The sequence below is a fragment of the Homo sapiens genome, chromosome 11 (genome assembly GCF_000001405.40).
Source record: "Homo sapiens chromosome 11, GRCh38.p14 Primary Assembly".
NCBI classification, from domain to species: domain Eukaryota; kingdom Metazoa; phylum Chordata; class Mammalia; order Primates; family Hominidae; genus Homo; species Homo sapiens.
Genome location: NC_000011.10, coordinates 36,228,988 through 36,245,150, shown reverse-complemented (window position 1 = coordinate 36,245,150; position 16,163 = coordinate 36,228,988). Strand labels below are relative to the sequence as shown.

Here is a 16,163-nt window from a genome sequence, read left to right as displayed (position 1 = left end):
ACTTTGGACATGATGCCTGGATCTGGGGCAGGCATCTAGTGAGTGAAGCAAAAGCATTATGCCTGGAGCTGGGACAGACATCCAGTGAGTGAGGCAAAAGCATTAGGGAACTTGAAAGTGACTTCCAGAGATGCCAGCCCTGAAATCACTGACCCACTGAACCAAGGCCAGCAGCCACCTATAGACTTTTGCTATTAAGAAAAACAAAACAACAACAACTGACGAACCATATTTGAGTCAGATTTTTTAGTACCTTGCAGCCCAAAGTATTCCTAACTGATCCAATGCTGCTCGACCAGGAAGGAAGCCAGTATTGATTGAACTCCCTCTGCACATCCTCCAAAGACACATTGCATATTAGTTTTCAAAGGGCAGCTATGGTCTGCAGAGTACCTATAGGAGACCTACCAAGGGCCTGAAGAAATTTGACTGTAATTACTTTTGCATGCTGATAATCTTTGGGGGCCTAGATTCAGATCTAGGAGGAAAATGAAATGAGGGCTGTAGTAGGCAGAATAATGGCCTCCCCAAAGACGTCTGCATCCCAATCCTCATCCTAAGTAACGTGTTACCTTACATCATAAAAGGGATTCTGCAGATATTATCAAGTTAAGAATCCTGAGATGGAGGGATTATTCTGGGTCATCTGGATGGGCCCAATGTAATCATAAGTGTCCTTGTAGGAGGGACATGGGAAAACGGGAGAAGGACCTGTGACCACAGAAGCAGAGGTTGGAGGTTGGCCACGAGACAAAGAATGTGGCAATGTGTAGAAACTGGAAAAGGCAAGGAATGGATTATTTACAGGAGCCTCGAGAAGAGATGCAATTTTGCCAACATCTTGATTTTATCCCTGTAAGATCCATTTTGTACTTCTGACCTCCAGAACTGTAAGGTAATACATTTGTGTCATTTTCAGCCACTATGTTGATGATAATTTGTTCCAACAGCAATAGGAAACTAATACATGGGCCTTCTACTTTCAAATGTGCTCTATCCTTTTCTAAAATCAAGGATCCGGCTTTTATCTTATTATAAAAATCAAAGCCTACTCTGTTATATTAATTAGTGCTAGACTGGAGAAAATACGATTTTCCAATAATATACTCTAAGGTCTGTCCCTTGGGTGTTTCTGGCCCTGTGCTGGTCTATGCTAGCCTGTTTGTACTCAGATCCACCCACCAGCCTTTCCCTGCTCTCTGCTCTGCTTCACACTGCAGAAAACTACACTTTCAAGAATCTCTTTCCAGCTGGCATCCAGCTAAATTTGGCCAATGGGCAGCACTGACAGAAGGTGGGAAGAAGGGAGAAGCCAGAATATTTCTTCATCTTTTGCTCTGCCTCGAGTGGCAGCCCCAGCTCTGGCTGTATTTCCTTGTTGGATCCAGTTCCTACTGGACAGTTCTTGCTTCTGTAGTCCTGGGATCCAATGGGCATCAGCCACCATGATTTTGGCTCCTCCCTTGGTCCCTGCAGCCTGGGAGTGAAATGACTCCCTACAGTTTCTAGTCTCTGGGTTGTTCAGCTTATCAGCTCTTCCACCCCGTGAATAACCAATTCCTCATACTAATTGCCCTTTGTTTAAAAGACCTACAGTGGCTGCTTTTCTGATTTGCCCCCTCCTACAAAGCCACTGCAGACAGTCCCACAGTCCTGTGTTCTCTGGTTTCCAACCAATTTACATGCTCTGAGGGTGTGGACTCTGTCTTCTGGGACTACGATAGCACTTGACATGTGCTGGGCTAAGTCTGTTATATTTGATTTAGCCATGGTTTAAAAGAAGGGGACAACAAGTCTGGCAGTGATGGCTTGTTCTCTGTTTCCCACTCTCCCTTACACAGTAACAGAATCCTTGGCCTTTAGCTAGGCACTCCACATGGCTGCCCCCAAAAGCCCACCCTTCCCAACGTCCTTACCAAGTAGATATGGACATACAACTAAGCTCTGGTTGATAGAACATGAGCAGAAGGGAGGTGTGCAACTTCTGGACTGCACCATCCTTTTCTCCTCCTCCTCTCTCCCGTTGGCTGGACAATGGCCATGGTGGTGGGCCATCGTCAGACAAGAGGACAAGGGCAACACCCAAGGACGGCAGAGACACAGGATGGAAGGAATCCAGTCCCTGATGTCCTGAAGCCATCATAACAGCCCTGGATTCCTTGTGTTTGAACTGCTAGAGAGTTGGGGAGAAACAGACATCTATCTTGTTTGAGCAAGTCTAGTTTTGGTCTCAGCCAAGCAGCCAAACCTATAGCCTAATCACCGCAGTGACATCAGGAGATGCTGAGATTGGCCTGCAGTCAGCCCCTCTGTGCTTATGCCCTTGTGGCACTGTCCTTCCCTCCCTTTGATGGTGATCCATGAGACGAAGAACTTTTTTGTTCTGTAATGAATTCTTACCTCCTGGCACAAACCATACATCGCAGACCTCTACTACATGTTTGCAGAATGAATGATGGAATCAGAGGCCTGAGGTATATTTGCCACTTGTCTTCAGCAGGGGGTCACCATGAGTACTCAGGATCTCTTGACCTGTTGGCTTTGGCTTTCACATGTCCGTTAATCACATTAGAATCACAGTATTACAATGACTTAATAGTTACTTATTTAATATTCTTACTTTACCCAGGTGGAAGTTAAGCCCAAAAGGACCACACAGCAAGCTAGGAGTAGAGCTGGGATTGAAATTCAGGTTCACTGCCTATGAGGTCCATGCTTGTTCTACTGCTCCAGGGCCCACTGTCTATATGTAAACTTTCCAGTGGAATTGCTTCTGTTCTTCCCCTGAGTCTGGTTCTGGGAGCTCTCTGGCTCTCTTGCATCTCCTCTCTGATGGTTTGGATTTGGAGTATCAGGAAGAAGAATGTGTTGGGAGCTCAGCAGGAAATATCCTTTGCCTGGGTGCTCTGCGGCAGTTTCTGGGAAAAGTCTCCTCTACTGCAACACCCCAGCCTGGGAGCAAGGATATCCAGCTCCAGTGCCTGTAAGTTGGGGGTTAGGTTTGAAGCAATAGCCTCTTTCTTCCTTTCCTGAATTCTGGCCTATAATGTATCAATACAGAGAACTGAACAAAATGGGGCTTAAAAGTCAGGTTCGAGAGTACGCAACCAAGACTGAGGCCAAATGAAGCTTTTCTTTCTACCTCTATCTGTGATGTCTCTGCAGAAATGGCCACACTGAGCATTCGATCTAGTTCCAGATGGAAGAGCTGTTGTCAGAGAGCAAACACCTGGCTCAGGCTTCCAGCAGTGGACTCTGCAGAGTCTGCTTTCCACCCAGAGATGGAGGGCAGGTATGCTCAGGGCACCTGTTTCATATGGTCCCATCAACTGGCAACTCTCCTACATGCATGCATCAGATAAGCTAGCCCTCCTCCAGCAGGGAAGAAGTAGCAAGGAGGGTGGAGAGAGAGCAGGTTCCCCTTTCAATGAGCCAGTATGGGGATGTGCAGATAGCAGGAACAAGAATCCTTTGGAGGAAGTAGCAGATGATTAGGGAGAGACCAGCTCAGTCTCTCAAAGGCTGGGGCCTTGGCAGATGCATGGGTAAGGTGGAAAGGGAACTTGGACCCAGACCATTGGGTTAAGATCCTACCTACCGTCATCACTTATGAGCTCTGTGACCTTGTGTGCAAGTTATTTAACCTCTTGGCTCACAGGTTTTGCATGTGTAAAATGGAGATAAGAGTGCCTATCTCATGAGATTGCTGGGTGGATTAAATGAGATAATGCCTTTAGAGCACCTAGCCCAGTGCCTGGCACAAAGGAAGTGCTAAATAAATGTTTATTTCCTTCCATAGTGGGAGGGTGGAAGAGGCGAGATTCTGAGACACAAGTCATGAGCTTAATCTGCTGTACTTGGTGTCATGTGGGCCCAGGACACTGCAGTGGATAAGCCATGGAGTACAATCCAAGAAAGTCCCCTGAAACTCTCCCCTCCACTCTGCCCCGTGAGCTGTTAGACCACACAATCTCTGTCCCCTGAACTCCTTCCTCTCCCCTGATGGCCTCTGTCTAGTTGGAGAGATGCTGAGAATATGCCCAGCATGAGTCCACCAGGCACCTGCCAACTGCCTGTCCCCTCCCTCCCTGCTTAGACAGATCACCCTTGTCAGACGCGGCAGCATCCCGCTTCATCACTCTAATTGCAGTGTGGTTTGCGTTCATCAAGGAAACAGCAGGGATTCCAAATTAAATTCCAACATGCAATTTAGTCAAGATATAAGGCCTATTGAGATACTATCTTCAGAATCCTCCCCCAGCCCTTTCTTTGAGAGGTAGAATTTCCCTGCTGTCAGTGCTGCCAAGCCCCATGCCTGTCTACTGGGACCAAGACTCTCTGGAATGGGGATTCTCCCTGGGCTGCTGGCCAGTTTCTCTCCCATTTTACAGACAGGGTTGTTGAGGCATAGAGAAGGGTCTTAGACACGGAAAAAGCCCTGGGGTGCATGGAAGCCAGGACTGGCCTGGGCTTGTCTATCTTTGGGAATTGTGCATAACAGAGTATCTTTCTGGCATACCCTGAGATGACAGAGGAGCCCATTCTGAGTGGTAGGAAGGGCCATGGATCTCATTGTGAAGAGCAGAACCATTCTATCAGCACTCGTTTGCTTGAAAGAGGCTTCTGAGCAGGGTGCAGGCACAAACCCACTCTCTCAGGCTTCATACCAATGGGCCAAGCCCTTCCTAGCAGACCTCTCGTCCAGGGGCTTCCTGACTGCTTCCTGCCCCCAGTTTCTGCCAACTCTGAAATGTTTCATGACACCAGAATTAAGATGACAAAGTCAGTGGGAAACCACAGATATGAGTGGGTGTGGTGGCTCACAGCTGTAGCCCCAGCATTTTGGAGGTGGAGGCAAGAGGATTGCTTGAGACCAGGAATTCGAGACCAGCCTGGGCAACATAGCAAGACCCTGTATCTACAAAAAATAAAAAAAATAAAAAATAAAAAAAATCCAGGTGCGGTGGCCTATGCCTGTAGTCCTAGCTACAGGGGAGGGTAAAGCAGGAGGATTGAATGCTGCAGTGAGCTGTGGCTGCATCACTACACTCCAGCCTGGGTGACAGAGCGAGACCCTATCTCTAAAAAAAAAAAAAAAAAAAAAGAAAGAAAAATTAAAAAAAGAAAACCACAGATGTGAAGAAGCAATTAAACTGGGAAGTCGCAGAGTGAGGACTGTTCTTCTGGCTCACTCCTTTAGTTCTGCCCAGACAGGCAGTGGGTATGTGCCCAGACTGAGAGCCTCTCTCCAGAGGAGCATCTGCCACGGCACCATCCACAGTCTGTGGTTGTTTACTGCCAGAGACAAATCCACCCCAAGTAAGCTTTGGACTCAGATGAGAAGTACAACAAAATGCCAAAACACCCTCTGGGGTCCAGGGATCCCTGCAGTGGGGGTTGGGGTACAGGGACACCAAAGTCATGTGAGCCGAAACCCTGGAAACTCAGCTAAAAAGAAGAGCTTCTGCAAAGCCAGCCCTGCCTGGCAAAGCTGCATTTCTCCAGAGGCCCTGGATTCAGCCCCGAAAACTGCACAGATTTCCAACCATTTGGTAGAAGGAGAACCATGGCTTTAGGGAACTGATTGATTTTGAGAGCAGCAAGGCAGCAAATAACCCCTAGGGAAGAAACATCCAGTCCTGCTCTAGAACCTGAAGGCAGGAAGTAGACATTTCAATCCAAGCCTGATGTCTTCACTTGAAGGTGGAAGGCAGTGACTGCCCCGCACCAATTTCCCCAAAAGTAACAGCAAACAGAAAAAGGAGGGGACATCACTCATCTAAAATGATGGTAAGGGTAAAACAGTGATTAGAGCCTGGGCTTTGAGCTCACATCCGAGATTGAGTATTTACTAGCTTTTGGTGTTAGAATAAGCTCCTTATATCTCTAGGCCTCAGTTTTCCAATCTGGAAAGAGGGTAGAATATCCATCTTCCATGGTTCATTCAGAGTAGAGTCAGCAAATTTTTCTATAAAGAGCCACATAGCAAATACTTTGGGCATTTTGGGCCATATGGTCTCTGTTTAATGCTACAACTCTGCATGAAAGCAGCCAGGGAAATAGTACATGAATGGGAATGGTATGTCCCAACAAATCTTTATTTACAAAATAAGCAGTGGACCAGATTTGGGTTGTGGGTCACATTTGCCAACTCCTGATTCAGAGGATTATGTGTTAGCAAAGTGCTTGGCACAAAATAACTGAAGAATAAATGATGTTAACTACTACTATTATTATCAGCCTTGCTGCTCTGCGTTTGGCCACTTAGATCATCAGGTGCCAGTAAACAGCTCTACTTCCCTTCTCCCTGCATTATCCTGTCAGTCAGTCAATATATTAGTCCATTTTCTCATTGCTATTAAGAACTACCTGAGATGGGGTAATTTATAAAGAAAAGAGGTTTAATTGGCTCATGGTTCTGCAGGCTGTACAGGCAGCATGGGTAGAGAGGCCTCAGGAAACTTTCAATCATGGCAGAAGGCAAAGAAGAAGAAGGCACATCTTACGTGGTGGGAGCAGGAGGAAGAGAGAAAGCAAAGGGGAAGGTGCTATACACTTTTAAACAACCAGATCTCATGAGAACTCACTATCATGAGAATAGCAAGGGGGAAGTCCACCCCCATGAATCACTCACCTCCCAACAGGCCCCTCCTCCAACACTGGAATTACAATTCAACATGAGATTTGGGTGGGGACACAGAGCCAAACCATATCACTCCATTTCCAAAAAGGGCATGTGAATGGACCCACTCAACTCCTGGGTGCAGGTGCAGTCAAGATTTTGTCCTGACATGATTTGCTTAATGCAAATTCCCAGTTCCTTAGCATTTAAAGGAAGGGCAGTTTGGATTCATAGTGAAGGAACAATGACAGGACTTCCCATTAAAAATGTCTATTACCCTTCACAAGGGACTTTCCTTTGCAATATCATGTGGATTTCTCAATGCTGCTTGAAGAGATAATGACTATTACAACCATTTTGTAGACAAGACACTGATTTTTGGTAAGACACACTGATATGTGTGAAGTCACAAGATCAGGAGCAGAGCTGAGACTTGATCTCAGATCTTTGGACTCTAGATCCAGTGCTCATTTCTCCCACAACTCATTGGGCTGAATATTGGATTAGTTAGGATCTTTGCTGCAAATGATGAAGCCTATTTTGCTGATTTAAACAGAAAAGGAATTCATTAAGTGACTTGAAGAGTTTCTGGGAGGGCCAGAGGATTGGGCTTGAGCAGAAGTCATTATTCTCAAAGTATTGGGGTAGTCAGACACGTGGCTTCACAGTCTTCTCCATGAGCTTACTTGTTGCAATACCATTTTGAAGTCTTCATGTAGCAGCACCTTCTTGGCCTTCCTTGCCAGCTCATTTCTCCATCTGTCCCAGGCCCCAGGCTAGTGGCCTTGGAGATAATGTCCCAGATCCTCCAACTTTCCAGACCATCCCTCCACCAGCTCTTTCTGCAACAGGATAAGCCCTAATTTCCATATGAAATCCCTTATTCCTGTAATACTTGTAGTGGCTCTGACTGATCCCAGCTGATACACCAGGCAAGCACAAACATCATTTTCATGAAAAGATCACTTATTAGATCTAAGCCAAGCCAGCAAGTGGGGTCAAGACATTCACATTCAATCATTTCCTGGTAACTGAGGGCTGAGTTATTTAAGCAGTTTATTTTTCATGTAAAAGGAGGCTGGCCCTGTCTTCTCTTTCTATAATTTCTTACCTCTTTTCCCTGTTTGAACAAAGTGTCAGTTTCTTATCTCCAAACTGGGGATGCCACCATTTTCAAATAGAATCTGCGGTCCTATCCCTGGGAAGTTGCCTGGCATGTCGGTGTGCTCTTAGTTGATTCACAGACTAGCACACCAAGAACACACTTCCAAGATGGTCTGGCCCAAGTCCTCTTGCAAAAGAGTCATACCTATTGAGGGGTCACCAAAAGAGCAGGCCCCCAGGTGGGCATGTGTTCAGGTACCACCTCCATCACTTAGTCCCATTCTTCACATTCCAGTGTATTGTTTATTATTTCAAGGTATTTCAACTCACCTTCCCAAGTTCTCATGTACTGCTTTAGTCTAGGGATCAATCAGTATCTTGGTCAAGAAGGAGTCTGGTACTTCCATCTTCCACGAATCTCAGTGTGGCCACAGCTGAGGTCCCAAAGACATCAATAGCAATATTCCAAGTGGCTGTGGCTCCTGATGGTTCTCTGATGGGGAAGAGTATTCTAGGGATCTTGAGAAGCTGTTCCAGTAAAGGGAACAGCAAGAACAAAGTTTGGGAGCTGAGAGTCTGCCTGGTAGGTTCGAACCAGGAGGGTGGTCAGGATAGCTGGAGCAGGGTAAGGGAGAAGGGAGAAGCCAGGTGGTGGAAAGTCCCATAGACTAGCATTTTGATCTTTCTCCGCAGTGAGTTGACAATTATTCAAAGAATCTGAGAATAGGCTGTGAGCGGTGGTGTGTGCCTGGAAAAGTTATTCAAAGATTCTGAGAATAGGCTGGGAGTGCTGGTGTGTGCCTGGAATCATGGCATTTTGGGAGGTAAAGGTGGGCGGATCGCTTGAGCTCAGGAGTTTGAGGCCAGCCTGGGCAACATGGCAAAACCCCATCTCTACAAAAAACACAAAAATTAGCTGGGCATGTTAGCCCATGCCTGCAGTCCCAGATACTCGGGAGGCTGAGGTGGGAAGTTCACTTGAGCCCGGGAGGTTGAGGCTGCAGCGAGCAGAGATCATGCCACTGCACTCCAGCCTGGGTGACAGAATGAGACCCTGTCAATAAATAAATAAATAAATAAATAAATAAAGAAAAGAAAAGAAAGAGATTCTGAAAATAGGCCAAAGGGAGGCAATCTAGGGGAGAGATGATATGAGCTGTGTGGGGTTGAAAAGTTGTCATTCTAGAAAAGCCAAATTTGGACCTGACAGAAATTTTCACCAGATCCCAGATCTTGGATCTGATTAGATGGAATGGTTGGGTGTCTTCTTTCAGAAGGGAAAGAAGAGTGCAAACACAGGTTTGGTCACCAGCACCAAAATCCATTTCTGGTTCTTCCTGGACACACAGCTAATCTAACTTCTCAGCCTCTCTTACAGGTAGGTCTGACCATGGGACTGACCAGGCTCTGTGCAATGAAATGTGAGTGAAGGTGTGTGTTGCTTCCAGGTCTGGCCCGTAAACACTGCCCATGCATGTGTGCTCCTTGGAATGCCTTTTCTCTGCTGGCTCACTGGGATGACTCACCGTCAACGGTGACCTTGAAAAGCATGTAAAGTCAAATACAGCCTGATATTAGAACTTTAGAGTGAATTATCCTTGCTCAGACTATAAACTCAGCCCAACTGAGGCATCAGTAATATTTAAATTAACATGCTTCCTCCAATATTTCATCACAGCTCCCCATGATTATACCTTCAAGCTCTCAATATAATGGAAACTCAGCCCCTCAGCTCCAGTGACACAAGCTGTTCCAAAATTTCTAGTGGATGGTTCTCTAGATATTGACACATCCTAACTTTCAGGTATAGACAAATGGTTAACTATGGAAAGCCTCATTAACTGCATGCATACTTGAGTCTAGGTCTTTAGGTAGCTTGATAAGGGTGATGAATGGGAATATATTTCTGATCCATCAGCTTAAAAATACTGTGAAGGATGGGGAAACTCTTGGCAGGATAATTGCCCCATTTCAGTGGTTGGGAGACAGTTCTGAGCCCAAGAGATATTTGGGGTATCTTTAGGGTAGAATTCCTCCTACACAGCTTATTCATGACCGTCTCACAAAAGTATACATGATCCAACCCCAACTTGAAACTAACCTTGCCTCATAGGTTTAAGGAAAGGCTGTTGAGTCTCCTGAAATTTTCACTGCAACGTTGCCTCTGTTTCTTTCAGACCATATAATGCCCATGGTTACATTGTCTGAAGCTTGTAGTTGTCTGCTATTTTCTTATGTATATTACAAATTGTACCAGCCAGTTGTGAGTCCCATTCTTTGGTGGGGGTTTACAGCAGATATATTGGTATTTGGTCTACTACCAGACTCTTTCCATATGGGAATTTTCTCTTTCCCACTTCATGTAATTCAGGTGGGGCTGTCAATCAAGGGACTGAGACCCACTCATAGTAGTGGTCACATGACCAAGAACAACCAATCGTGAGTCCGTTTAAAGGTTTCTATAGATGCTAGGAGAGAGTGCCTCTCCTGAGACTGTGAACCTGGGTTTTCTGGACTCTCTTTTCCATGAGCAAGCAGGGCTGAGAAACTGGCAAGGGAGGAACAAATTCCTAATGAAGGCTGTTGAGCAGCTGGATCCAGGTCTGCTTGAACCCAAAAGTTCCATAATCTTGGACTTGGTTGCTTTAGACAATATATCTTCTAAAATTTAATGCAATTAATCATGTATGAGTCAGATTTCTATAACTTACAACTAGGAGTTCTAATTAATGTCCTATGAACTTGTTTAGCTGTAGGATGTCAAGGGAGTCAGTATATTTTCTCACTGACCTTTTCCCTAAGGGTCTCACTGGGTGCATAGTTATGTACACTCATACACTTCCACTGCAGCCACCTGAATCTCTTTCTCATTCAATTCACTCTTAGAATCTACTGCTTTGCCTGTGGGTTGCAAGCTCAACGTAGAAAATGGACATACCACGTCACTCACTCCCATGGACCTTCTCTAAAAGACAGATTCCTGTAATCCCAGCACTTTGGGAGGCTGAGGCGGGTGGATCATGAGGTCAGGAGATCGAGACCGTCCTGGCTAACACGGTGTAATCCCGTCTCTACTAAAAATACAAAAAATTAGCTAGGTGTGGTGGTACACGCCTATTATCTCAGCTACTTGGGAGGCTGAGGCAGGAGAATCACTTGAACCTGGGAGGCAGAGGTTGCAGTGAGCCGAGATTGTGCCACTGCACTCCAGCCTGGGCAACAGAGTGAGACTCTGTCTCAAAAAAAAAAAAAAAAAGACAGATTGCTGTGTGAGTTCATGACCTTGAAGAACTCCCAGTAAGAGTAGTTTTTTGTTTTTTTTTTTTCCTAGGATTGCTATATTGAACCCAAATATTTAGGATTTCATTAAGAAAGCCTCTCTTCAGCTTAATCCTGTATCTTCTTATTTTGGAAGAGAACTAATAGGGGCCTTGAATTGTCTGCTTCATGAGTTTTTCTATTTTTAATTTTTTTTCTTTTTTGAGACGGAGTCTCGCTCTGTCACCCAGGCTAGAGTGCAGTGGCTCGATCTTGGCTCACTGCAAGCTCTGCCTCCCAGGTTCATGCCATTCTCCTGCCTCAGCCTCCCAAGTAGCTGGGACTACAGGTGCCCACCACCACGCCCGGCTAATTTTTCTTTTTTTTTGTATTTTTAGTAGAGATGGGGTTTCACCATGTTAGCCAGGAAGGTCTCAATCTCCTGGCCTCATGATCCGCCCACCTTGGCCTCCCAAAGTGCTGGGATTACAGGCGTGAGCCACCACACCCGGCCTATTTTTAATTTTTTGAGATTGGTGTCATTTCAAGGGTTCTAGTACTCCAAGCCATTAACACAACTGTTTCTTCTCTTCAGTGTCCTTAGCTTTACATCTATGAACCCAATGTGGAAGTGATCCTTTAGATTACTGACAAACCACAGCCCACAGGTCAAATCCCACCAGTAGCCTGTTTTTGTAAATAGTTTTCTTGGAACACAGCCACATCCATTCAATTTTGTATTGTCTATAGCTGCTTTTGCAGTTGCTACAGAAACCACACGGCCACAAGCCAAAAATATTTATTCTCTGGCCCTTTAGAGAAAGTTTATCAACCCCTGCTCTAGCTGAGTATTTTACAATCATTGCAAAGCACTAGCATCCATAAAAAATGCTCATCTTGGCATCCATAAAAATGGTATTCATGGCTGGGCGTGGCAGCTCACGCCTGTAATCCCAGCACTTTGGGAGGCCGAGGTGGGCGGATCACGAGGTCAGGAGGTCAAGACCATCTGGCTAACACGGTGAAATCCTGCCTCTACTAAAAATGCAAAAAAAAAAAAAAAAAAAAAAAATTAGCCGGGCATGGTGGTGGGTGCCTGTAGTCCCAGCTACTCGGGAAGCTGAGGCAGAAGAATGGCGTGAACCCGGGAGGCGGAGCTTGCAGTGAGCTGAGATCACGCCACTGCACTCCAGCCTGGGCGACAGAGCGAGACTTCATCTCAAAAAAAAGAAAAAAAAAGGTATTCATAAGGTACCTCGAGGGATGATGAAATGAGTAACTTGACAAATCTTTGGGGCTTGGGAAAGTCTACTCTACATCACTTGGGGCAGGGCATGACATAGCATATATTTGGGATACACATGCCTGACAGCCCAGTCTTCATTTGAGGAATCTGGGATCAATACATGATCCAAATCTTGGTACTGTGGGTCTTGCATTTGGATTTCCATGTGGATTTCATTTCGGCCAGGGCTGGAGTTACTGTCCCTGTTCATGATGGTGGTGCTGGTGACCTATGGGGCATCCTAACTTCCTTCCCAGGCAGATGTCCCTGCTGCATTGGCCAACATGTGGCTCCAAAACTAGACTTAAAAAAGCATAAAGATGTTCCCATCATTGATGGGGACAATCTGAGCCATTTGTGTTTTGAAACTAATTACTAGCCCACCTATCCAAGAGCTATAGTGTGCTCCTGAATATGTGGTCAGAATCTGTTACAGTTATCACAGCTACTTGTCCTTTTCCCTTGAACAATGCTGTAGCAAAGGCAGAAACACCCATCTTCCAATATGATTTCCCAGGGCCCATTACATTAACTGGTGTCCACAACTTTGCCTCTGTATTCCAATCATATCAGCTGCAGAATCCTGAAGCATCCATCACATTTTGAGGTCCCACCAACATATTCTTCCTTTTTCTCATTTTATTATGGCATAAATTCATTGCAAAAGCTATGACAGAAGTGACTGTCCACTGTTTATATTGCTATAAGGGAAATGAGTGGGTCAAGGACCATTTGCACAAACAGAAAGAATGAAACTGCAAATTTATTAGAAAGTATAAAAATTAAAAAACAAAACCAAGCCTAACCAAAACACAAAAAGCAACGACACACAACCTTTCCAGTTTACATTAACTTTGAGCGTCACACACTATTAACCACTTAGTTGCATTTTTTAAAAATGTCAATTTCAAGGTAGAGGGAGCTGAGTCAGGTAATAGGCCAGTCATCACAGTGTAACTAATTTAATGCTAAAATAAAACACGGATCTCATTTGAGAAAAAAAGAGATGAGACTATTTTCTGGTTGGCGTAGATTTAGGCAATGTATAAAAAAGCTTCCTGGTTGGAATGAGTTAAAAAATATTGCTGGCCACTAATGTGCCATCTTGAGTTGGAAAACAAACCCCCTCCCCCCCAAAAAAACCCTGCCGCTTTGGTGTCCTATTTATATATTTTTAAAAACATTCATTAAAAAAATCAAATCTATAATAAAAATGTCCCTGTTTGTTTTAAAAAAGCATTAGTAGGCATCCCTTATCTACTAAAACCATTTGTTTTTCCTAAGATGCCTGGAAGCAGAAAAGCGAGTGAGATTAACTCACTGCGCAATTAATTAAAATTAGAATTCTTTCCTCTAAACAACTTCCAGAGCACCAGAAAGAAGAAGGGGCCCCATCAAAGGGAGAAATAAAGCCCTTCTGACTCACAGGAGATGAAATGTTCAGCCAGAGTTCTAACACATTCTGGCTGTCATCAAAAGTTCTTTATTGGATTACTCAGAAAATAACTCAAGTGCTATTTTAAAAATGAAAGATACAGGCAGCTAGGTTCCTTTCCGTTTTTCTTTCTTTCTTTCTTTCTTTTTTTTTTTAAACAAAACAAAATACCAGTGGCTAGCTTTTCTGTAACATCCTTTGGATTTGGTTAAAAAAAGAAAGAAAAGTCTACAGAACAGGATCACTGAATGCCACTTTAGCCCCACTTCCTGCAGGCTCTGTTTTAATTAGCGTCAAACAGGTTACTGAACATTTCTTCAGCTGCGGAAAGAAGTTCTGAATGGGTGACAGCTGCCCGGAGTGGCTCTACCTGGTTCCATTTTACCCCTCATCAGTCAGTGTGGTTTCTTGCCAAACAACACCTAACGTTTTACCCCTTATTCCTGCAGGGAGGCGGGCCCTGTGGCTGACTGGACACAGAGAAAAAAAAGAAAAACTAGCACAAACATAGAGACTATACACGGAGGGAGAGAGGAGTCCCTCTTTCTGCTTCCTTCAAGAACTTGATAAATAATAACCTCAAAGTGCAACAATGCACAAATGTCTGGCACACAGGTTAGTCTGGAGTGACTTGTTATCACGGGGCTCAGCGGGGCAAGGGTGTGATCTCCTTTTGCATCTTTCTTTGGACCTTGTTAAAGGAAAAACAAAAAAAGAGACAGCTTTCCTATACACATATAAATAGTCCCTTAACTAGAAGGGAAAAAACAAACACACTGTTTCAAATGCATTTCTAAAAGATTTAAAATAGATCCAAATGGAAAATCTTGACTCCAAATTGTCTCTTGCCCATGTGTCTCAGAGGAGAAACTACTGGGATGTTGGGAGAGGCCTGACCCTGACCCTAACTCTAACTAGAGGTGCTGGTATTGGGACCTTGGGAAGAGGAGCGTGCACAGTGCAGGGAGCCAGGAGAGCTTGCTGGAGGTATTGAACATGGCTCTCACCTGTGATAGAAACCAGTGTCCTCAAGTCCAAATGCACAGGTAAAAAGGACTTTGCAAGTGTTAAGGGAACTTTGGAGGCCAGTGTTGAGGCTGCATGAATGAGCAAGACAGGCTGGGTGTGGGCCACAGGGACATACAGCCAGGTCAGACTTTGGGCCAACTCAAGTTAGGTCCTCATTCCTTGGCTACGGGCAGGTCAGCTGGGAGGGTGACAGTCCAGAAACCAGGTAAGTGGCTGTAGAGCCAGGGCAGGTGTAGGGTCTTGGCAGCCTGCATTTTAGGAGCTGAGAACTTGGATAAACTCATGGGAGGGGCTCCCTGCCTATTTTAGGATGAGGCTGATGATATATGCTGCTGAGGAAAGCTCTCAGAATGAGCATTCTTGGGCAAATTTCTAAAGCCAGAATTTATACAGGGTAGATGGTTTCAGAGTCCTTCACAAAACCAAAATAACGTTGCGACTGCTGAAGGGTGTTACTCACGTCCAAAGTTTTCTTTGGCCACTGACTCTGCTGAACTGGGGGCATCAAATAGGATTGTGCAAAGCAGGTTTTGATGCTCAAATGGAATTTTTTTGGGGGGGTGACCATCCAGTGATGGCCTCCTGGTTAGATCATCTAACCCAAATCCCCAAATGCTATAAGGTAACTACCCAGCAGAGAGAATTGGGTCCAGCGTCTCCTGCACTTCTGAGCATCCAATATAGCACAGAAACATTGCTCTCTCCCAGCCTATTTCAATACTGTTTTATATGCTGTCTCTCCAACAGAAACAGAATAATGTGAAAAATGAGGGTGTGATCTCGGGTCCCAAGGGAAGAGTGACCTGACAGAAAAGACGCACAACAGATCATGTCAACTGAGACGCCAGAAAAACATCTCTGAAGTCTGGGGGAGGAGGGGAATGCAGAGATAGTTAATATCCCAAACTGTAACTTGAGACACCCTTACAGGTGCTTAAAGAGCTTCCCATGAGCACAAATTGTTAGAATGGCAACAAGTCAGAGCAGATTAACCCATATGGACTTTGGAATAACTGGGACTTATACTTCTTCAGTGCCCTGGCTGGGCTCAGAGTCCCTGGGCTCAGCAGTGCCCTCCTGGGGGCCAGGCTGCCCCGGGCTGTGGCTGGTGTCTTCCACGCTCAGGAGGCTGCTGGCTGCCTGGGAGCTGGCACTGTTGGCACTCCCGGACCGGGAGCGGTAGGGGGGCAGGTCGGCTTGGTTCAGAGATTCCGTGTCAGAAGAGTAGGGCGGTGGAGGAAGGTCATACCACGCAGGCCTGTGATGGGGACAGCAGGGGGGCAGGGGCAATGGAGACAGGAAGAGAAGAGAACACATTAGGGCCAAGATAAGCCAACTTCAGCCCATTTCTGAGACAGTGTTTCCAGTGCGAAATGAGATTTTTCCCTCCAAGTACAAAGACAATTAATTCAAGGACCAGGAACCACATC

At 45.3% G+C, this 16,163-nt stretch overlaps 1 protein-coding gene across 3 annotated transcripts in view, besides 1 other annotated feature; it reads right to left on the bottom strand.

Moving 5' to 3' along the window:
- Positions 7,658-7,952: a silencer, noted in NCBI's record as "tiled region #15199; HepG2 Repressive non-DNase unmatched - State 24:Quies". NCBI's record gives its function as "represses a minimal TATA promoter and a strong SV40 promoter by Sharpr-MPRA in HepG2 cells {active_cell/tissue: HepG2}" and the evidence as "EXISTENCE:reporter gene assay evidence [ECO:0000049][PMID:27701403]".
- The window catches only part of LDLRAD3 (low density lipoprotein receptor class A domain containing 3), a 288,075-nt gene continuing 284,926 nt past the window's right edge, over positions 13,015-16,163 (bottom strand). For all 3 annotated transcript variants that reach the window (NM_174902.4, NM_001304264.2, NM_001304263.2), the window contains one exon: positions 13,015-15,991. In NM_174902.4, the coding sequence (NP_777562.1) occupies positions 15,754-15,991 (238 nt within the window). In that variant the 3' untranslated portion in view covers positions 13,015-15,753. The remainder of the gene's footprint in view (positions 15,992-16,163) is intronic.